This window comes from Homo sapiens, chromosome 13 (assembly GCF_000001405.40).
Source record: "Homo sapiens chromosome 13, GRCh38.p14 Primary Assembly".
Lineage (NCBI taxonomy): Eukaryota > Metazoa > Chordata > Mammalia > Primates > Hominidae > Homo > Homo sapiens.
The window spans coordinates 37,748,156-37,772,084 of record NC_000013.11 but is presented as its reverse complement, the minus strand read 5'-3'; the positions used below and the strand labels follow the sequence as shown (position 1 = coordinate 37,772,084).

Below are 23,929 nucleotides of genomic sequence, written 5' to 3'. Positions count from 1 at the left end.
GGAAGTCCATGGTCCTGGTAAACCTCTCAGGCTTGATTTGACGTGCCTGGGCAGACAGTAATTTCTCTCTCCTCCTTGGGAACACAGCTGCCCCCTAGTCCAACTTCAGTTGTCTACAAAGAAATCCTCCTCACAAGTCCACCCTTACCTCTATTGTCTCCATGCTATATACTCTTGAAGCATTGTGAACTCTGGAATCTGTCATCAATTGTATCTGGTACCTGTAAAAATTTCAACTTTCATACTCTGTTATCTATATAAGGAGCTCTCACCTCTTTAACAAATGTTGGATTCCTTTTTTTCTTCTACATATACCCAACAGATTTCCTAATACATGGTATGTGCTCAGTAAATGTTGGCTAAATTTAATAACAAGGACTCGAGACTCCACAAAGACTTGCTGATGGTCTATTATTAATTTTTCTATTTCTTAGGTTATAAAATGAATCTTACCAATCAAAACTTGTTCTTTATATCTGCTTTCTTTCTGTAGCTCACACACACACACACACACACACACACACACTCATGCACACTATACCTTCATAAAAATAATGAAAAAATGAACTGCTTTTCTTAAAATCATAGATAGTTTCTTAGGTTTGGAGGAGATTCTAAAGGTTATCTGGAACAATCACACATACAGTGTCTATTATTCATGCTCAGCATTCTTGATATATTAATAGAATCACTCTCTTCTGCTCCCTCTTCAATTTTGCTATAGCAGAGCAGCAAGGGAACAACCTAAGATGAGAGAAGTAGGAAAGTGAGGACAAGGGTTTTGGTTAGCAAAGTTTCAATAAAGGATCATGTATTTTCTCATTTCTTCTTATAACTTTAAAATTTCCTTGGTTGCCTACTGTGATCAAAATCTTGTTAAAACATACTTACAAATGAGCTCCTGACCTCAAGGAATCTAATTAGCAATCAACTGCAGTTTTAGGGTAAATATAAGTAATTATGCTTAACATGCACCCTCACTTTTTTCTGTTTTCTATACAATATTGGTTTCCCAATTGTATTCACATCTATCTTTTGTGAGAGTAGGCTAATAGCACCTAATACCTAATAAATAGCCATATCAAATTTTGTAAGACACAGAAATTAAAGTAATTCAACATCAATAAAAGAAGATATAGACAAGTACCATTGTGTTTCTGTGAAGATGGTAAAATTGTATTAAAAATAAACTATTTCGTGGTTTGGGGAAAAGTGTAGTAGATTGTCATATTAGGCGGATAGTCCATTGCAGAATACGATACACGCTTCATCCTGAATGGAATCAATACGAAATATTTTATTATGCACATATATAACTATTAATTCTATCAATAAAATGCTTAAACTTTAAAAATGTGTATTCGATAAATTAATGTTAAATGTTGCTAATTCATATTTCTCTTGCATACTTTATCCTAGAACATCTGAACTCATTAATCCTTTATCATCTGAAGAGCTTTTGATTCCCCTGACCTCAACTTAAATTACCAGCCTTAAGAAAGTATAGATCTAGCTTATTCCATTTGGTGCTTTTATGCTAAATTTAATGCTTGGCTTGGTGGTAATATGCATTAAATCAAGGGTTTCAGAAGCACCTGTTTTGGATGAATTTTCTCTTTACTGTATCATGTTCTATTTATTCCCAACTTAGTCTGCCTGATTCTCTCAATCAAAAAGCAGAATCAATGTCTAACCTTAAAATCAGAGATAATTAAAGTGCATTTTGACATCACCTTTAATGTGATGTCACCCCATTCTCCTAATACAAAGTAACTCCTGGAGTCATCACCTTTTACAGATATGTGGAAAGTGAAGCTTAGAGAAGTTGAGGAAATTTACCAAGGACTACTGAGATTATTAGTCCTTGAGTCAGGCCTGAAATTCAGTCATATTTATCATATAAATTTTCAGTCATATTTGTCATATTTATCACTTTAGCCTCAATCATAAAGACTTTATGAAACAGGAAAAAATATAAATAAAACTAAATATTTTGAGGTTTGTTTTATATAAAAGGAAATATTTCAGGGTTGAAAATGATCAGGTTTGGAATCTAGAAAAATATGGATTCAAATCCTGGCTCCACGACTTACTATTTGTGTAACCTATTTAACCTGAAACAGAAAATGGCTATATTCCACAATTATTGTGAGTATTAGAAATTAGAAAAAATTCATGTAAAGTGCCTAGTATATTTAGATCTGGTTTAATGTTATTATCGTCATGATTATTAATTTCAGAACGAAGTACACCAGTTTGATCTATGTCTAAAGATTCACATTTGTGTCATGCTTTCAGGTTGTTAGGATCAGACTTAAAATATGCTGATGCAGAATATAAGAGACAAACTTGTTGCATTCTGGTGATGAAATCTCTGAGGATAGGCTTCTAGATACCTGCATAGTGGTTAGGAGGGTGTAAATCTGTGAATGATTCCCTGGAGCCAGGAAGCATGACCCTGAGCTAAAAGTTGTCTAAAAGTCAGGAAAAAGGAAATGCACCAGGATTATAAGACAGCAAAGTTTGAATAAACATAATCTAAACATATTATAAATCACCAAACAAAATGTAGCCTTTCTCTGAATAGAGAAAGAGAAGGAAAAAATCATGATAAAGGGAAATAATCAGAGTTAATCCCATAGAATAATATACAGGTTCCCTTAGGGATATTTTAGGAAGGATGTTTTCACCAAAGACAGAGCATTGAAATTCAGTATTGTCAATGTAAGTGTGGGATCGATGTTCACCTGTTGTCCTATCTTTTTTTAATAAATGAGGTAAAGCAGATAGCTTCCTTTGACCACAGTTAAGGAAAAGACTGCCACCTGGTGAATATTTGAGGCTTTCAAAAATATATGTATAGTTTCAAACATCTGGCTGGCAAAAACTTAAAAGTAATAAAAAATATTTTAAATTATTTTTCTTTACTTTTCAGTGGATTATAGTTTTTTCACTATGCAACACTAGCAGAGGTTTCGTTAAAATGCTATCAATAAAATTACAAGTTTCCATGAATTTTTGCACCATTTTATTAACTGCATCTTTTATAGGTCACTTAATTCATATTAAAAGTTACCCAAAAAATGTGAACCACCATGATCTATATTTCTTTGGGTTTCTTTTTGCTTAATTGTCTAGCAAAATGAATTTTAAAATTACATTGTAGGATGAAAATAATACTAATCAATTCCACTCACTGTATACCTGATCCAAAAAGCAGAAAGTAGGCAAAGGTTGTTTTTCAATGTACTGGCACTCTACTGGGAGTCTTTGCTTCTTCCTAGGATTTAGCTCCTTCAGTATATTTTCTGTGGGGCATGAGAGGTGAGAAATCAGTCCCTAATTTTTTTTCTTCTAGTAAAATGTTGCCCCCGACCACCTATCCTGATGTGTGTGTGTGTGTGTGTGTGTGCGTGTGTGTTCGTATGTGTGTATTTGCACATTAAAATAGAAGTTAAGAAGTCTCTTAATGTCTTAGCTGGTTGCTACAGAACTTGTAAATTGCTAAAATATTTCATTCTTGACTCTAAACACTTGAGTTCAATAGAGAAAAAAGTCCTTTTTCTTTCTCCTCCCATGAATTTATCAACATCAGTTCAAAAATCTGTATGATATTTTCTTTAGTTGTGAAAAAGGAAAGCCATCATTCCATCAGGAAGAGTAAGAATGTCCCTCCAACAGTTTTCTTTTGCCTGGAAAGCCCTGCTACATGGTAACATGGCTCTCCGCGTGTCTTTTTTAATTCCCTTCACACTGTCAATTCCTAGAATTTTTCCAAGTGTTATTTCTGTTATTTTTGTGCAATCTCAGAAGAGAAGAAATTTTTAAGACAATTTATTTTGGTAGCATTCCTTAGTTTTATAGCCATATTTTTAAACCTGAAGACTAAGTTTTTGTGGCTGCACCTTCCCTGAGATGCTTACCGATCAATACATCATGTGATATTGGTAGTTCACATTATTATCCTCATTTACCTTAATTTGTTAATTCTTCTTTATGGAGTTTTTCTCACTTTAGTTTGTTCCCTCCTATGATTACTTATATCTAAAATAATAAAACTCTTATTAGCTCTTGATGTTGCATTTGGGTCTTTTGAAATAAAACTATTTTTCAGTCCATTGAACTGTGATGGTCTTTTTAGATACTATTTATTTGCAAACTTAAGAATACCAGTCTATTCATTAGGCATAAATTACACTGTAAACAAAATCTTAGTCTTTTCTGTTTTCTTCCACTAGCTACATAATTCTATGTACATCCTAGGTACTAAGTAATAGTTTTGGGAGTGGAAAGGTAGATGGATGAATATGGTAGATTTAAAAAACCTTATAATTATTCATGAAAGTAAAATCTGGCAAAGTACAATCTGGCAAGATTAAGTCAAACATCAAAGGTCTTACAGGCTTTAGTTAAGGTAACAATTCTGATTTGGATCACTTCCAGAATGAAACCAAGATTATTAACACCTTTGTTAAGAAATTATGTGGGAATATATATATTTTTCTTCAATTTGACCTCTACTACAAGACAATGCTGCCTAATATTTTAAGTGGAGTACGGGGTTCTGAGGAGCCTTCCACACCTCGAAAAGTTAGTCCCATGTATAGCATGCAGTCTTCTTTGCAGAGATTGCAATATTCTATACAAGTCTGTATTTGCTAAAAATATATGTATATAAAGACTTGCTCCCAATTTTCTCTACAAAATACAGATATCTGTGTATATATAGATATATATATATATATATGCTGAATCTATATCTCTGGGGAGTGTGTTTTAGAGTGAATTTTATTTTCTCCTTTTTTCTTTTGACATTTTAAAAATCTTTAAGCAATAGAATATACAGCTTTTTTAGCAGGATAAAGTCAGTGCTGTCTCAAGGACTATACTGCTTGGACATACCACAAAAACAAAAGGCAATGAATGAGAAGGAAATTATTAAATACACTGGCAGTTTAAACATAAATATAGATATGTTTCTCAGAAAATCATTAATTATGCAGTGTTCAACTAAAGAGTCATAAAATGTAGAAATCTTACACCCACTCAATAGACTAGTTCTTTCAGTATTCATAATCTAAAATTTTATCTAATATTCTGAAATTTACTTTCTCATTAATAGAAAAATAAAAACAATCACAACCATTTTCTGTATCTTTATTTTTAATATCATTAGAGTAAAATTACTTTCTCCTCCTTACATTTATAAATCACTCTGCCACTGCCTAAGCACTTTCATCATATTAAGGTCACTTAGTCCTGTGAGTAGACAGTCAGTGACGTTTTCTCTAAAAGTGAAGCTAGCGAATGATGTGGTCAAGGCCATGTGGCTAGTTCGTGGATGAACCAAGATCATCTAATTCCTCAGTTTTATCTCAATTCCTTTTGAAATAAAAGACCCAGCCACATGTCTACTGTTAGCCAATCATAATAGCCAGGCATTCAGACTTCCTACCCTACACATGTATCTCTGACTTTGCTATTCCTCATTCATGAATCATTCTAGTTCCCATCCTAGCATTTTGGACCAGCACATTTTTTCACCAGGATATATTATCCATGTATTTCCTCTGCATTTCTTACTCCCAAAAAGGATCCATAGGAAGTTTTTGATTATTTTCTAAAATAATCAAATTTGGGAAAATCCCTGAGAGCCAATTTTCCCGGTTTAGCATAGATTTGTTTTTAAAAGTTTGCGTTAATTTCGTTGCAACAGTCTATTACCATAAAGAATTGCTGAGGCCTCATTCTCTATACATCCACATGCTCCATATTCTGCGTGTTCTACATTCAAAGTGGGTTAAGATGTGAGGATCCATGTAAATCTTTCCTACTTTCCTGCTGCATCCAATTTAGAGAATTCTCTTGTAATGTATTGTCAACAATTCTAGGAGTCTCAGGCCATTTGAAAATTACAGGAAAGCTTGATAGTATTTGTTTAAAATTAACATATACTAAGATGTATTTCACTGCATGTAGGCTTCATTAGAACCTTCAATCATAGGACTTAATTATATCAACTTTCATTCATTAATGTAAATCTACATTAATTCATGTGCTGCATGCTTTAAACAAACCTAATGAAGAAAAATGGAAAGTGGAAAAAAAATGATTCATCTTGGTGTGGTTTTAATCTCTAAAGGACTTGTTTTTATTTCAAAGTAAACTATGGAATTATTTGAGTACATGTTCGTTTGTGCATTTAAAAAAACATCAAATATATCTAGAAAAGAGAAATTTACAAAGCATATGATAAAATTAATCAAAATAATTCTATTTAACACTGAACAATAAATCAGCAAAAGACAATAAAGCACTTATGCAATCTTCTATATTTAATACAGATCAACAAACGCCCTTCATTTATATTGGAACTGAATCCTTTTGGAAAGCAATTTAGCAATGTTTAGTGAAAGGAAAACCAAAGAAAAAATTTATTCATATTCATACACTCATTCTCTCATACAGTCAAAATACAGGAGATTTTAATATACACTCTAAAATTCTAGGTGGTAACTAGCTAAATTACTGTGTATTTTAATTAAAATATTGTGTAACTATTATAATGATGTTCAAAAGACTTTAAAATCTATCAGGGGAGAAATACATGTCAAATAACAGCTGAATTCCACATGGATTAAAAGAGATCACACTGTAATCAATTTAACATATTGATGAACATTAAATCTTTTGCCAGTGTTACTGGTTTGGTTGCACATGAACAAGACTATAAAGCTTAAAGTAAGCAGATATTTAGCCTATTAAAAAACCCTGTGGACATGCTTTTAAGCCTAGTGTTCATTCTCATAGGTTGGTGCCCTATTTTAATGAATTAATACCTGGTCTACACTGAACAATATTGGGGGAAAAGACACTGATAGATTTGATAATCAAGATGAAAGTAATATTAACAATCTTTATAGTAAAACTCCACACAGAAATTAGAACCTGGCTAAAATATTTGAAATGAATATGATAGATCAAAAATATTAACATATTTAAGACATAATAAAAAATAGATAAGCCCTACCATTCAAGGAACATACTATTTCAATCTTTCACAAATATTTATAATGTTATAAATATGCCTTACCATCAAAGCCTGAAGAGGACAACATGAGAAAGAAAAAAAATATGCTCATCTCACTCAAAAATATAAGTGTAAAAATCTTAAGCAAAAATTAGAAAAATATAGTAATTTATTTCACTGCCTTAACAGATAAAGGTGAAAGAAACACATGATTCTCACTAGATGCAAAAAAAAAAAAAAAGCATTTGATAAAATTTATATCTATCAATGATAGGGGAAAACAAAACAAAACAAAAAAAACTTTAGCAAACCAAGAATGGAATAGACAAAAGATATTCCTTAACTTGATTAAAAGAATGTAACAAAAAATCTACAGTTTATATCATTCTGAAAAGTGAAATATTAAAAACATTCATGTTAATATCCGTAAAATGAGCTTTCTCATTATTACTTTTTATGCAACTCTACCGGAGGCCCTGGTTTGAACAAAACCAAACAAACAAAAAAGATATGAAGACTGAAAAAGCTTAAAAGTATGTTCAGATAATTTGTCTACATAAAAACAAAACATCATCTACAAATTATTGTAACCAATATGAAAGTTTATGAGTCATAACATAAAATATTAATATATAAAATTCAAATGAATTTTAGACACTAATCAAAGTTGGTCTATACATTATAAACACTAGCATCAGGAAATTATAATTTAAAATTATATACAAATGTATAATTATAGAAAAATGTATATAATATATACTTATAAAAAGAGAGTATTTCAACAGTAACAAACATTTGAGTTGTCTAACTGAACATTGTGTGGGAGTTTCAAGAGGAAAAATAGAAAACTTTATTGAAAGCCCCTTCATTTCTAGCTGAAATCTGAGTCTCCCTTGCAGGCATCCGTCACACCACTGGGCCTTGTTCATACTCAGCTGTTGCTTCTTTTTAATGTCTCCACCCCAGTAGTAATATTCTATGGAATCTCATTGCTTGGGGATTTTAGCATCAGATTTACTGTCATGCTCCTCAACAATGGTGTTATCCAGATTCTCTGGCTGTACACCTGGACAATGCTAGAATTACACTGGCCTCCTTAACCTACTTTCCTTCTTCCCAGACATTTATCTTTAACTTCATCATGCGTTAGTCACCTCCTACTATGGCCATACTTGGATTCGGTGTTATCATTAACTGTTCTACCTCCAACGTCAAAATTTCTTCCCTGCTCACTCTATCTAGCACCCACGCATACTCCAATATGTTCTGACCCTCATCCTTTGTGATGTTACTTCCCTGATTTAAAATTCAATGGTTCATCCTTGTGGTTTCCCACCTGAAGACAAGTTTGCCTCACTCATTTTGTAATATTATCTGGTAAAATTACATTTTTGGTTTAGTCCAATCTCTGCCTATTGTATGCTTGTACTCAGGTGGCCAGAGAGGGCTGAGGAAAGCATATAACCATTTCAGCTAGTTTTACTCTAAAGGCATGACCACTAATTTCAAGTGGGTGCTCAGTGGTGCCCAGCAATCTTACTACATTTCCTGGGTACCCTTCCACTTGCCTAGGGGATTCATTCATTTTTTTTCTATCTATCTTTTCTTCAACAAGCTCCCCAATTCTTTTCTCCTCTTCCTCAGGTGATGCCTCGTTTTCTATTTTACTAAGAAAATAGAACCAATCAGGGGAAAACTCCCATATGCTTCCACCACCATAGCTACCAACCTGCCTCAATATATGCCTTAGTACTTCCGGATTTCACACTCTCCTTCTTTTTTGCCTACTTTACCATCTATTTTCTCAATATCTTTTACTGGTCCTTCCTCATCTTCTCCATCTCTAAATTTCGAAATGTCAGACAGTTCAAATTTTCAACAAACAACATTTTATTTAAATGTCATTTAGTAGATTCCCCTTCAGTGTAATATATATACGTATATATTATATAGGTTTTTTTTAACCATTCATTAGCCTTTACTATTGCACAAAAATCCTGTTCAAGGCCAAATTTTACCCTTGCATTACTTTATTAATGTTAATCCAAATTTATTTAAATGAAACCTTATAAAGGATTCCATCTAATCTTAACCAATTTGACCATAAGGTGAAATCTTTACAAATCCTTTATAACCCCTTTTGCTAAAGGGCAGATTAGTGTCTTTTTTTTATTTTATTTTATTATTATTATACTTTAAGTTTTAGGGTACATGTGCACAATGTGCAGGTTAGTTACATATGTATACATGTGCCATGCTGGTGTGCTGCACCCATTAACTCATCATTTAGCATTAGGTATATCTCCTAATGCTATCCCTCCCCCCTCCCCCCACCCCACAACAGTCCCCAGAGTGTGATGTTCCCCTTCCTGTGTCCATGTGTTCTCATTGTTCAATTCCCACATGTGAGTGAGAATATGCGGTGTTTGGTTTTTTGTTCTTGCTATAGTTTACTGAGAATGATGATTTCCAATTTCATCCATGTCCATACAAAGGACATGAACTCATCATTTTTTATGGCTGCATAGTATTCCATGGTGTATATGTGCCACATTTTCTTAATCCAGTCTATCATTGTTGGACATTTGGGTTGGTTCCAAGTCTTCGCTATTGTGAATAGTGCCGCAATAAACATACGTGTGCATGTGTCTTTATAGCAGCATGATTTATAGTCCTTTGGGTATATAACCAGTAACGGGATGGCTGGGTCAAATGGTATTTCTAGTTCTAGATCCCTGAGGAATCGCCACACTGACTTCCACAATGGTTGAACAAAAAGTCAGGAAACAACAGGTGCTGGAGAGGATGTGGAGAAATAGGAACACTTTTACACTGTTGGTGGGACTGTAAACTAGTTCAACCATTGTAGAAGTCAGTATTATATAGTTTTGAAAAAGAAAAGTGAAGTCTGTCAACTAAACAATCTAAGAGTTAGTGATAATAACCCTCAAGTTCCTTTAGTGATTCATCCTAGTCCAACCTGCTGGTGATTTAAAGTTGCTATTTGTTTGATGTCTCCTTAAGAGTTGTAATATATTTCTCCAGTATTTACCTAAAATACAAATAATATTTAATTGTTATTCCTGATGTATATATAGCAGTACACAATAAAGAAGCAGATGCCATTTCAGGAGATACACAGCTTAAATTTTCAGCAACAAAAAGCATGCATTCTAAACCTTGACATCTACACTTACAAAATCGGCCCGCCAGGAAATTATTGTTCTACCTTTCAGATGAATCAAGCACTATAATTGGGACTGTGTTTATGTGAGGAGAAACAAATGAATCTGGTCAAACTGAACAAGACAGTTTTCTGGTCTTGCTCCTAACAATCCTAGTACTGTCACATAACACTAGTACCTCCATGTTATTTAGTGATTTATAGATTACAACATGCTTTCACATTTAATCTTCACCACAGCCCTATGGGAACTAACTTTGAGAAGGCTTTGATATATGTTTCTTCAGTTCTTGTTCCTTAATGAGAAATATTTTGAATAAATGACTACATTTGGAAATGAGAAAATAAAAAAGTGGGGAAGTTAACTGGCTTTGTCACAGCTAGAAATGGTTGAGGCAGGATTTAACGGACATTTTCCTACTCTCGCTACCTGAGCTGTTCCCACGATGTCGCAACTGCCTTACCTAGAAGACATAACATCTATTGGTGAAGAATTTAGACTCTGGAGTCAGGCTGCATGGATTTCTGTATGACCATGAGGAAGTTACTGAACTTCTCTGAGGCCTGTCATTCTCTTTTGTATAAAAAGGGTAATAATAATAGTACATGTAAACATTATTTTGAGGATTGACTGAGATGAGGTATAACAAGCTCCCCACACAGGGCATGGCACATGGCAAGTGTTTCATACAGGTTAGCTATTGCTTATGTTATCATCATTAGACTCCAAGTATATTTGCACTTACAACATCAATTAATTGAAGTAGTTTTAGCCAGATCCTTGTTCATTTGTATCAACACGTGTCCTTTTTCTAAGATAAATCTGTCATTCAATCATAGGATTGTATTTACTGTGTGCCCTATATACCTTTTCAAGTCAACTCTATAAGTCTTTGCTGGTATTTTTAATTCAAAGTAGACAGAAAATAGGCTTCCAATAAAGAATAGTCTGTGCAATTTCAAATGAATATTTGCTTTACAGGAAGTAAAAGTAGTTATTGATATTAAGTTATCATTATTTATACTGGATGCATCACTAACTAAAGCAGGATGTCTAATTGTTTGGCTTCCTTTGACCACATTGGAAGAAGAATGTCTTGGGCCACATATAAAATACACTAACACTCACAATAGCTGATGAGATTATTTTTAATTGCAAAAAAATCTCATAATGTTTTAGGAAAGTTTGCGAATTTGTGTTGGGCTGCATTCAAAGCTGTCCTGGGCCACATACAGCCTGTGGGCCATGGACTTGTACTAAAGCTTGGGTAAAGTTAGATGTATCTTGTAATAAGAGCCTTTGATGGGAAATAAGGGAATCTGCAATTGTGGAGTATGCACTCATCCTCCTTACTATTCTTAGAAACTCCTTTTCTGAAAATGGGTTCCTCTTGACTTGTAGGAAAGTTATAATAACTTCCCTTCCCCCTTCCTCCATTAAAGGCAAAAAAGCAGCCCAATGACAGTTCAATTTTACAAAAGGACGTTATAAAAATTATAATACTTAAGATGGGTTCTGAGTGGCAGAACTGGATAGGTGAGAGGGAAAAGGCAAACACCAATTTAAAAAGCTGTATGGAAAGTTTAATGGTGAAATGCTCAGACCATGGGAAGCATACTGAAGTGTAGTGCACAGTAGATTTTAATATAGAGATTGACCTAATTATAGAGGATTTTGCACATCAAATAAAGTAGTTCAGATAGAGATAATACTAAGGACAATGTCTGATAGAAAGTAGAATCTCAACTAATGTTTAAAGAGCCTAAAATAAGGAATCTTTATATAAATAATTATTCTACAACTCTCTAGCATGACAAAATGAAACTTCAGGAGCATCTCTCTGGAATGATACATACAACATTACTGCTAATTCAAATATTCAATGGCATCACAATATTTCACACAAGAATATGTTTCTACAATTTGTTCAAACTTTTCTCTTTTGAAAAACATTGAGGTGATGTCCAAATTTCCATCAGGACACAAATTGATGAAATAAATATAAGAAATATTCTCATTGTCCCTGCTTTTCTGTAGGAAGCATTTCCTGAGGTAAGACTTCTCGAAATTTGTATAAATACTGCATACTCTCCCATAAAGCTGTAATAATTTTATCCCTCTAGCTTTCAATGAATGGGGGAGCCTGTCTCCATAGCTTTTCAAACTTGACCATATGATGGACAAATATTTGTATTTCATTATTGTTTTTATTTGTTTTTCCTTGACTATTGAGAAAAATCATCATTTCTTATATTTCTGGCCCTTTGATTTTCTTCTTCTGTAAAATATCTGCTTATAACTGTTGATCCATTGGATTGCTTATAAGATTTTTTATTTACATTTTTTCTGTGTGTGATGTTAAGTATGTCTCATATGTTGCAAATGCATTTTATTGTAGTTTAGTAGCTTATTTTTTTAACTTTATGTATGTATGGTATCCTTGGCCATTCCACTCAAGAATTGTATAACAAAATATGTGGTTTTTCATTCTGTGTTTACAATCTTGCTTTAAGAGCTCTCAATCTCAGGGCAGACAATCTCAGGGCAGACAAAAAAAATTTTGTTGCCTTTTGTTTTTTACATTTAAATATTTACCCCATCTCAAATTTGTTGTTATGACAGGAGATGAATAGCCTAACTTTGCTTGGGTAGAAGATTGTTTTAGTGCCAGTTAGTAAATGAACTGCTTTTTCAAATAAATAAAAATTTAACTTTTCACATATAAACTTTAAATACATAATCAAAAGTAATTCTGGTCAAAATTCTGTTCAAGTGATTCATATCTCTCACTATATTCTTGAATTATAGTCTCAATTTTATAATTTTTTAGCCATTCTTGGATATATATTCCTTCATATCAATTAATATAACAATGTTATTAAGTTATAAATAAAACAATATAAACAAAAATATTCTAATGAAATGGTACTAAATGCATATATTTATTGTAAGAAAAATCAACATAATTCTGATATGAAGTCTTCTTTTCCACTAACGGAATAATTTTTCTATATTTCTGATTTTATTTTATGCCCTATAAGGTTTTATTTTTTCTATAATCTATTCACACTTATTATATCCATTGTCACTTAATAATGTCCAACTTTTTTCTTTCTGTATGTAATCAGCTCTGTTAATAACTTGTATTACTAATGTTAAGAAAAGTATAGATTTTTGTACTGCATACACATGTCGAATTAAGCTTTATTAATACTTCTAAACTTGAAGTCTCTTAGTTTTTCAAAATATATGACCATGTAATTTGCCAAACAGGAACAGGTTGTCTTGTTTCTTAATATTTTATTTTCTAATCTTATTGCATTATATAGAAACTCCAAAATAATGATGAGTAAGATAATAAGAATAAACATTTCCATCTTATTTCTAATTTTAATGAAAAAAGTTTTCACTCTTTATTGTGAGTTTTGCTACTGGTTTTGGTAAATAATCCTTATCATTTCTAGGAATAGTGATGAAATTCTTCAAACTCTGTTTCACATACAATATCATCACATTGAAAAATATTATTTACCATAATGAATGATAGCTAAAAATATCATAATTCCTTTGATACACTGTTGGATTCAACATACTAACAATTATTTTAGTGGTGTCCTTACCAGAAAATTTTACATTTTATTTTCTTTTTTGTTTGATCTTTGTTTATGTAGAATAGGATTTCTTACTTTGTTAGCAAACAAGCCTTTTGTTTATTACTCATTTAAAATACAAAACTAAAGCAGAGAACTGCAACAAATAAAAGTTGTTATATATACAATGATTTTAAAATAATATGGAAGCCAAAAGTCAGTAACTTACGTGAATACGCCAATTACCCCTAACTGAAATATACAGGCCCACATGTCAAGTAAATTAAGGAAGATCTATGTTGTACCTAAGAGACTCAGTAAAATAAAGTGCTATTTTTTAGAAAATTTCCAACCTTGAACCCTACCCACCAATTTGGGATTTCCCCAGAATATATTTAATCATACATAATTGTTTTCATTACTTTAACCAAATACCTGGTGAATACTATCAGTGCACAGACTCATCATTTGCTTAGAATAAGAAATTTCTCTGGTTGTTTATGCCTCACTTTTGACTTTTCTCCAGGTGTTCTTTATCTTTCAGTAACTTTTATTTACATTTTAGATCTTCTGGATCTTTCCCCAGATCTCCAGAATTTTTCTGCATGAAGTAAATATTTGTGTGTGTGTGTGTGTGTTGTGATTTATTTCTTCAACCTGATACTCTAGGACATCTATGATAATAGAACATTCTGGTTTCTTAATAAATATAAATGTAATTTTTTAAAAATTTCAAATATCATACATTCCTTTCCAGAAAGTCCTCCGAATTTTCCAATTACTTCTCCTAAAAAACAACTATCTGCTTTGTGCTTTCCAGTTAAAAATTGTATTTGTCTTCCAAGTCTAATTTACTTAGACTTAAGAGCTTCTTAACTTAGGGATGTGCTAGATAGAATTCAAAGATGTCTGTGAACTAAGATGGGAAAAATTATATCTTTAGTTTTACTGACTTCTAAATGGAATATGTAATTTCCTTCAATTATGAATGTAGGCCAAAAGTCAGTTTCCATAGCAGTGACTGTGTCTTTGTCAATAGTAGAAATCATAGATATTTTCCTATCGTATCACTATTACACTATATATCTGATATATGTTTATTATTTCAAAAGTAGTCTAATTATCTTCCAGTGTAACTTTTTATTTAATGTACTAATAGGCATTCATGTTACCACATTGCATATTTTTTAATGTATTTTACATATATTTAAATATATTTTTATGTATAATACTATGGATTTTGTTTAGAAATAGTATTCTTTCTGAATTAGGGTCCACAGGATGCTTCAGATCTCCAAAGAAATCCATGGCACACAAAAATTTAAAATCTCCTGATTTAGAGCCATATGTATGTAATCGTGCCGAATTTCTTTTAAGGTGTTTATTATAATTATTTTCTGGATCAATGTTTCATCAGACATCAAATCAAACTATTAGTGTATTTAGGCCAGTCACGGTGGCTCACGCCTGTAATCCCAGCACTTTGGGAGGCTGAGGCGGGTAGGTCTCCTGAGTTCAGGAGTTCAAGACCAGCCTGGCCAACATGGTGAAACCCCATATCTGCTAAGAATCCAAAAAATTAAGCCAGGTGTGGTGGTGCCTGCCTGTAATCCCAGCTACTCGGGAGGCTGAGGCAGGAGAATCGATTGAACCTGGGAGGCGGAGATTGCAGTGAGCCAAGATCATGCCATTACACTCCAACCTGGGTGACAGGGCAAGACTCTACCTCAGAAAAAAAAAAAAAGAAAAAAAAAAGCTATTAGTGTATTTAAAGTTGCAACCACTCTGAAGAAGTAAAAAGCACAAGTCTTTTCTCTTATCCACCAGTCTTCATAAACATTCTGGTAAATTATTAGCCCTAGGCTTAGACTAACAAATAATTTTTTGTCTGTATAAGTGCAAATTTGAATTCTGTTTAGTCTTTTAAAGCAGAAGTTTGAGCCTAAAATAATACTTTCGAGTTTGTTTAGATAAGATTGTAACCTAACTTATTCATCCATCCATCCATTCATCCATTCATCTATAGATTTCTTCATTCATATGACAACCACTTGCTTTTGTATAAGTAGTTTGTGTTCATGTGTGTGTATGTATGTGTGTGTGCACACATGTACATACATATACACACATATGTATATAAATTTAGGTTCTAAATTACTGTTGTCAAATAAATTTTTAAATATAACTCTATATAAAATTTTAAATATAACTAAGTTGAAATTTCTTGTGTTGATTTGAATTAGAAATCAAACAGTCTCTGTGTATGAAAGAGATAAATTTTATACTTATAATCCTGAGGGGTTTTTTTAAGTGTTGCTTTTGACTATGTTAGAGTAAAACAATGATGCTAAACACAAGGGGAAGCTAAAGAACTTAGCACATTTTTATTGAAGCCCTTGAAAAAACAAACACCTTTTTCATAAAGTTTCTATTATTTTACTATCAACCAGAACTTTAAAAAGGCATTTGAGTCACAGAAGTTTCGTGTTACAAGGGATATTCCTTTGCATATAACAAATGCCCCTTACTATCTTTAAGAGACTTTCACAAGATTATATAGCTAATTAAACATAGAGCCAGGTGGGTGCAGTGGCTCACGCCTGTAATCCCAGCACATTGGGAGGCTGAGGTAGGAGGATCATTTGAGCCTAGGAGTTTAAGACCAGCCTGGCCAATATAGTGAGATGCTGTCCCTACAAAAATATGATCTAGGCGTGGTGGTGCTATGCTTGTAGTCCGGCTACTTGGGAGGCTGAGGGGAGGTGGGATCACTTGAGCCTAGGAGTTTGAGACCAGCCTGGGCAATACAGTGAGACCCTGTCTCTACTAAAAATAAAAAAATAAAAAATAAAAAAATTATCCAGGTATGGTGGTGCTATGCCTGTAGTCCCAATTATTTGGGAGGCTGAGGGAGAGGATTGTTTGAGCCCAGGAAGGAGGTGATTGGTGTTCATGTCACTTTAGTTCAGCCTAGGCCACAGAGTGAGACCCTATTTCTTCTTTTTTTTTTTTTAAAGAGCCAGGTTAGGACATGTATCCATTTATTCTTAAAATCTAGTGTATGCCAAACAGTATTATGTCAGTAAATTGTTTTTACTCAATATAACTATTTTATAAAAACTGAATTTAATAGAATGAATACCCTTAAATTGTATGAATGTCACTTCAGAATGTATTTCTCTCCAAAAAATTTGACTTCAGTATTAATAATGGTTCAAACATGTATATTTTAGTGACAGAGATAAATTTCTATGAGGTTTTTGCCATTACTTTTAACGGCAAAAAACACAATTACTTTTGCACTAACTTAATACATTTGGGTAAAACATCAGGCTCTGGATTTTAAAATAGGTGCTTCACATTGGTGCTGAGTCACTTCAAGGTGAAATATGTAGATACATTTTAAGAATAGCAATCAGTTATAAGTTAATGGTTGCTTGTATATGTCAATAACATTTAATGCTGTGTGTTATCAAAATAATTCAGTTATTAATGTAACTAATCTTGCAGTAAAATTGAGAAAAATATTGAAGAGATACATTTATAAAGTTTGGACAGAATAAAAGCCAAAGCAACCTTATGGTTAGTTACACAATACAAAAAACAGGGGGATTTATTTGGTTTAATTTCAGGGTCTTCTTTTAATTGCCTCTTCTACTTTTGTTTTGGATTGCTGAGTGAAATTTGTGATTCAATAACTTGGAATTTATTTTTAAAAAGTAGTTTGTTTGGAGTATGTGGTTTGCTTCTTAGCAATGTGAGTATATAATTTAATGCCAATATGTTTTCCTGGGTGTAATGCCTTTATGTCTATAGATTTTACTTGAGCAAAATAAGTAAAACACAGTGTGATTTTCATCTGCAGGGTTATGTCCTTAAATATGCTAGATGGAAAACTTTATAAATTTGAGAAGAAAAGTTAATGGAAAAGTAGTAGTTATTGAGTGCCTACAATGACCTATTTATTTTATGTGTTAGGAAAATGTCCTCTTCACTTGTAACAATGGAACCACAAAAGGAAGGAGGAAGAGTTGCGTATGGGAGACATTGAATAAAGCAAAGGAGAGGGATTGAGATATAAAATAGACTGCGTTGAGAACGAAGCGTGAAAAGGGGCAGCAAGCCCATTTTCTGGGTTTTCTAAATGTTTGTGAGGTCAAATGACTTATATTTTAGACTTCCTTAAATTATTGAAACAGGTAGTAAAGTTGATAATTAACTGATAATTGCCTCAGCTGCAGTCAACCAGAGTCCCTGAGTCATAGCTTTTCGCTGCCCTCTCCATAGCTTCAGTATCGCCCATTCTCCATAGCGGGGGTGCTTTGAGGTGGCAGGCTCGGCTTCCCTGGAAAACCAGTAAGAAAAGCCTCTTTATCAACCCTTACTCATAGTCAGCTGAAAGACAGAAGAGAGAGGGAAGGGCCATTGGCCCTAATTGGATGCAAGGGTTCTCTGAAAGTGCCTTTCCAGTGCTAGAACGTGCAAATTTGCATTAGCAGCTTCTGCAATGCACTTGTGTTCACCTTTCCATCCCAGACAAGTGAACATTAGGGAAACAGAAATCTGAATTCAGAGGACTCTCAGGGCATCATCTGGATGAGATCTCTTCTTCTCTGATATGTTTGCTTTAAATTAATTCTACCTCATGTTTCTGTGTTCTCTTTCTTTCTTTCTCTCTCTCTCTCTCTCTCTCTCTCTCTCTCTTTCTCTCTCTCTCTCTTTCTTTCTCTGTCTCTCATCTTTCCTGTCTGGCAGGGTGCAATCATATCCTTTCCTTTTCCATGGCTACAAGTCTAATCCAAAATGTAATAGCTATCAGCCTTCTTTACCTGCCTCCAACCATTTCAATTTTAATGTATTCTTCAAAATATACTAGAATAATGTTACTACTTAGAAATTATTCCATTATTCTCCTGGCTAAATTCTTCTATAATGTCACCAATATTTATAAAATAATGCTATTCAAAAGCATCTCTAATCTTGCCCTAATCTACATTGAAGCATTTTAAAATTATTTAGCTTTCTTGACTTATACTATACTCTAAAGAAAGTATTTTTATAAATGTATCTCTCATGTCTTCTCTTTGATGCTGTCATTTTCTTATAACTGTTTTACATTGCTAGTTCCAACCAGTGTAAATATAAACACCTCCTCAAATCCTTTTCTGATTAAAAAAATCTCTAAATTAATTTCCCCTTTGTTTTATTCATACTCTTCTTAGAGCATTTACTGAGTTCTTACATTAAAATCATTTCTATAGTATTATACTGTGTGTGTGTGTGTGTGCGTGTGTGTGTGTGTGGAGGGAGAAAGAGAGGAATTTTCTGCTATGCTTCTAGAGGACAAAACACCTTTTTCCACCCAGCACATTGCCTTGCACATTGCTCATGTATAGTAATTATTTGTTGATTAAATGAAAGCCATTAAAGTGACTTGATTTATTGTTATAAGATTTAGTGAAGTTATCTTCTTTATTTTTTTTGTTTGTTTGAGCACCTGCGAATCTGTAATCCTAGGACATAACATCTGAAATAAGCTAAATGTACCAGCCATCTAGGGAAAAGGGGAATTTAAGTCTCTGTATACCCCAAAGACCATTTGTGTACAAATGAAAGGCTGTAACATTAGGACATTCTGAAAGAAGAGCTAGGAAAACTTAGCAAAGAAAAAGGGTGTGGGAGGGGGAGGGGGGCAGAAGTGGTATTTTGGTCTTTCTAGAGAGAGATTAGGTCCTGAGAGCAAAATCTTGAGGGGGTCACTTTAGCTTGCATTGTTTCACTATCTGTGACCGGCTCTTCCTTGTCGTCTGAGATTGACTCAGTCTCTAGTTGGAAGGCTTGGAACTCTGATTTAATGGCTTCGCCCTACAGAAATGGCAGTCACCTGTGTGCAGAATAAATCGATGTGTCATGTGTGGAATACCAACTATCCGCTAGGCACTTTGCCAAGTAGAAAAAGAATGGCAGCCGAATGTTCTAACGCTTCCAAAAGAACAGTTTGCATCTGCAGTTTTCTGCTCCAAGTATGTCAATTATTCGCTTCTTGCTAAGGAAAGTAAAATGTTGCACAGTACCGTATTCTTGTTAATACTGAACAAAAAAATTATAGTTAGCAAATAATTTTTATGTTCTAGGGCTCATAGCAGATTTTACAGTTATTATTGTATTCTAACTCTACCAGTCATATATATATATATATATATAGTTTTCTGCTTTATCAGGTTTTGGTATCAATGTGAAGCTTTCTGCTATATATAGCAGAAAAACTACCCTGAGATTTTGGAAAGTACTTGGCAAATTTTTAGAACTGAAAGTTTCAGATTAAAATTTGGTTATCATCTGATGTGACGCTGCAAATATTCATTTCTTATTTTTCTGTGTATTTCTCATGATAACTACCATGATGTTGGATTTGAAGTAAATGAACATTTGATTCACTTTGCTTGGGAGATACAGGAAATCTGTGCTCCAGTTTTCTGTCAAATACACAGTCATCTCTGTGAGGATATGAATTGCTTTATCTTCATTTTTCTTAATTCTCTACATCTAATGCAGTGCCAGACAATAGACTCAGTAAATATTTGTTGATTCAATATATGAATAAATTATTGAATCAATCAAAGTAATTATAAGCCGTTTTAAGAAAGGGAATTGCCTGAAGCTGTTGCTATATTAGAAAAATCGCATTTGCAGTAGTGGAGGGAAAGAACTGAAGATCCCGAAGACCCGTCCTTTTCTTTAGAATGGCTTACATTTTATATTAATAATTTTCTAGTAACCATAGGGTCCCCTTTTCCTTTATTAAAGCTTCTATTCTATTAGCTGGTTAACCATACAGTCTTTTGTCAGACCCTTCTCTCTCTTTCTTTCTCTCTCTCTCTCTCATTCTTTTCTCATTTCAAAACAAAAATAAAAGGTACATTTTCCTACATTTGTGTATATTTTGAATAGCATCTTCGAAAGTAAAAGCAAAAGAAGCAGGATTGGGAAGCGGAAGCCGTTAGACCCTGATGCAGAGCTGATGAATGTTCCCGCCACTGTAAACAGGAGCTCCGGAGGATACGGCTGCCTAGCAAGCCATGTCGTATGCTGAGTAGAAATAGCTGGGCCCTGTCCATCCTCTCTGCTTGCTCTTCCATTGTCCTGCATTTTAAAACTGAGGAAGAACCTGAACCGGTTAGCAGGTGGAGGCTGCTGGTAGACTACACTCTTGGTAGCCGGACAGCAAGTCCATTCTTGAAGGGGTTATGAATGCCACATCTCCATTTTCTATAGGAAGAAAGCATTCTTATTCTTTTAACGAAGAAAACTTCACATTGATACCAGAATCTGATAAAGACAGCACAGTGAAGATTAGAAATCCATCTCCCGTAGGAAAATCGATTCCAAAATATTTCTCATAAGTGGGAGTTGAACAATGAGAACACGTGGACACAGGGAGGGGTACATCACACACCGGGGCCTGTCGGAGGGTTGGGGGCTAGGGGAGGGATAGCATTAGGAAAAATACTTAATGTAGATGACGGGTTGATGGGTGCAGCAAACCACCATGGCACGTGTATACCTATGTAACAAACCTGCACATTCTGCACATGTACTCCAGAACTTAAAGTACAATAATAATTTTTTTAAAAATTGCCAAAGTAAAAACATTATGCATTTGACCACGTGGAATTCATTTCAGGAAAGTCAGAATGTTTCAATATTCCGAAACTTATTAATATAATTTGCCATACTTTTAGGACTAAGGAGGATAATTATATGATTATATCCATTGAAACAGAAAAGGCATTAGACAAAATTCAACACTCATTTTTGATAATAAATAAAAAAGTTATTTGCAAATGGCATAAATATAATAAATAAAACCAACGTAATTGCAGTGGGCAGACAAGTTGGTATCAGTGCTTAAGAAAACTGTGTGACACAAAAACTCTGTACCTAGAAACAAAATCAACATACATGTACGTTATTCCTTCATGTTCAAAACAGAAATAAAATCTTCATAAGAGCAATATTCTTAATGGCCCCAGACTGGAAACCATAAAAATGTCATTAACAATGAAATGAAATAAAATAGAAATTGAAATATTTCGCAGAATTGAAGCAACAGTTTTTGCTACTAACAAAGGAATATATTTCAAAGAGCTAAAGTTGAACAAAGAAAGCTAGACATAAAGAGTACATATTTTGTGATTCTATTTATATAAAATTTTCAAAGTGTGTGAAAGTTACTTATACTGATAACCATTAAATCTGTGAGTATATCTGAGAAAAGTAATAACTGAGAAGAGTAACAAGTGGGAGGCTTGTGAGGTGCAGGCACTCTCAGGTTTTAATCTGGGTTGTGTTACCTAAGCATGTTCAGATTTTTAAAAGTCATCAAGCTGTATATTAATATTTATGCATTTTACTATATGTATGTTATACTTTAATAACAAGTATAAAACGAATAGTGATAGCAATGAATCACAATATATTAAATAAAAGAAAGAATTCATGGGGTCATAGCAATATCCAACAACAAAAAGGAGAAGATGGAGAACTTTCATACACAGAAGAATGCAATATAATAAATGTAGAAGTGATGAGAGAATAAGAAAACCTCAGACTTTCAAAAACCATGTAATAATTGATGTAGGCATATAGTTAGTACTCCGTAACAGGCAATTATTTTCTTAAAACACTTTTGTTCTGTTTTTATTGTCTTCATGCAATCGGAGAGGACCCAAACCTGTCCCCTGAGACCTAGATAAACACTAATATTTTGCCTGCCTGGCTGAGTCAGGGTCCCAGCAGAGTCCCCCACGGAGTCCAGCTAAGACAATCAGTTCCTGATGTCTAACAATCTATGACCAGCTGGGTGCCAGGCAATTAATGGTAAAGACAACATATAATGTTAAATTTCGAATACATTTTAGAGTAAGAGTAAGCTCTAAAATAATTATAATTATGTAATTTAAAAATAGTTATTTACTGTATTAGTCCGTTTTCACTGTTCTATAAAGACACTACCTGAGACTGGGTAATTTATAAAGGAAAGAGGCTTAATTGACTCACAGTTCCATATAGCTGGGGAGCCCTCAAGAAACTTATAATCGTGGCAGAAGGCAAAATGGAAGCAAGGCACATCTTACATGGCAGCAGGAGAGAGAGAGAGCAAGAAAGGGGAAGTGCCAGACACTTATCAAACAGCCAGATATTGTGAGAACTCTCTATTACAAGAACAGCATGGGAGAAACCATCCCCATGATCCAGTCGCTGCTCACCAACTATATCCCTGTATACATGAGGAGTACAATTCAAGATGAGATTTGGGTGAGGACACAAAGCCAAACCATATCATTACTGACCAACCAATTGACCATTCAACAAACCAGTGCAATGGTTTATTGAGTATTAAAACTCAAACAGCAGATTTATTCTTGGTATATTCTCACATATTTTAATAAACTTACTGTATCTCTCTTTAATACTTTTACACTGTTATTTTTTGAAAAAAATGTATGCTATTCAGTATGGATATACTATACTTATTTTTAAAATAAAATTTTCTGCAATATTCTACAAAGATATATTTTATGGTTAATGAATTTGAAATTCTTAATGAGATTTGGGTGGAGACATAAAGCCAAGCCATATCATTACTGACCAATCAATTGACCATTCAACAAACCAATGCAATGGTTTATTGAGTATTAAAACTCAAACAGCAGATTTATTCTTGGTATATTCTCACATATTTTAATAAACTTACTATATCTCTCTTTAATACTTTCACACTGTTATTTTTTTGAAAAAAAATGTATGCCATTCTGTATGGATATATTATACTTATTTTTAAAATAAAATTTTCTGCAATATTCTATAAAGATATATTTTATGGTTAATAAATTTGAAATTCTTAACAGCTTAAAAAGCATAGAAATCCAAGATGAAATTGTACTGAATCCAGAAATTGCCTTCAAATTACATGTCACTTAAACATACATCTAATATAGGAAATTATTTAGTTACATTGTTTTGTCTTCCCTCATTGTCTGCCACAGAAAACACTAAAAGTACAGTAGTCTCCTCATATCCAAGGTTTTGCTTTCATCAGTTTCAGTTACCAATGCTTAACT

The 23,929-nt window shown here is 33.4% G+C and overlaps 1 protein-coding gene across 9 annotated transcripts in view, besides 1 other annotated feature; it reads left to right on the top strand.

Annotated features, from left to right (window-relative positions):
- Positions 1 to 23,929, top strand: part of TRPC4 (transient receptor potential cation channel subfamily C member 4) — a 237,710-nt gene that overhangs the window by 97,688 nt on the left and 116,093 nt on the right. The gene's annotated exons all lie outside the window — the stretch shown is intronic.
- Positions 17,979 to 18,273: a silencer, noted in NCBI's record as "tiled region #929; K562 Repressive non-DNase unmatched - State 24:Quies". NCBI's record gives its function as "represses a minimal TATA promoter and a strong SV40 promoter by Sharpr-MPRA in K562 cells {active_cell/tissue: K562}" and the evidence as "EXISTENCE:reporter gene assay evidence [ECO:0000049][PMID:27701403]".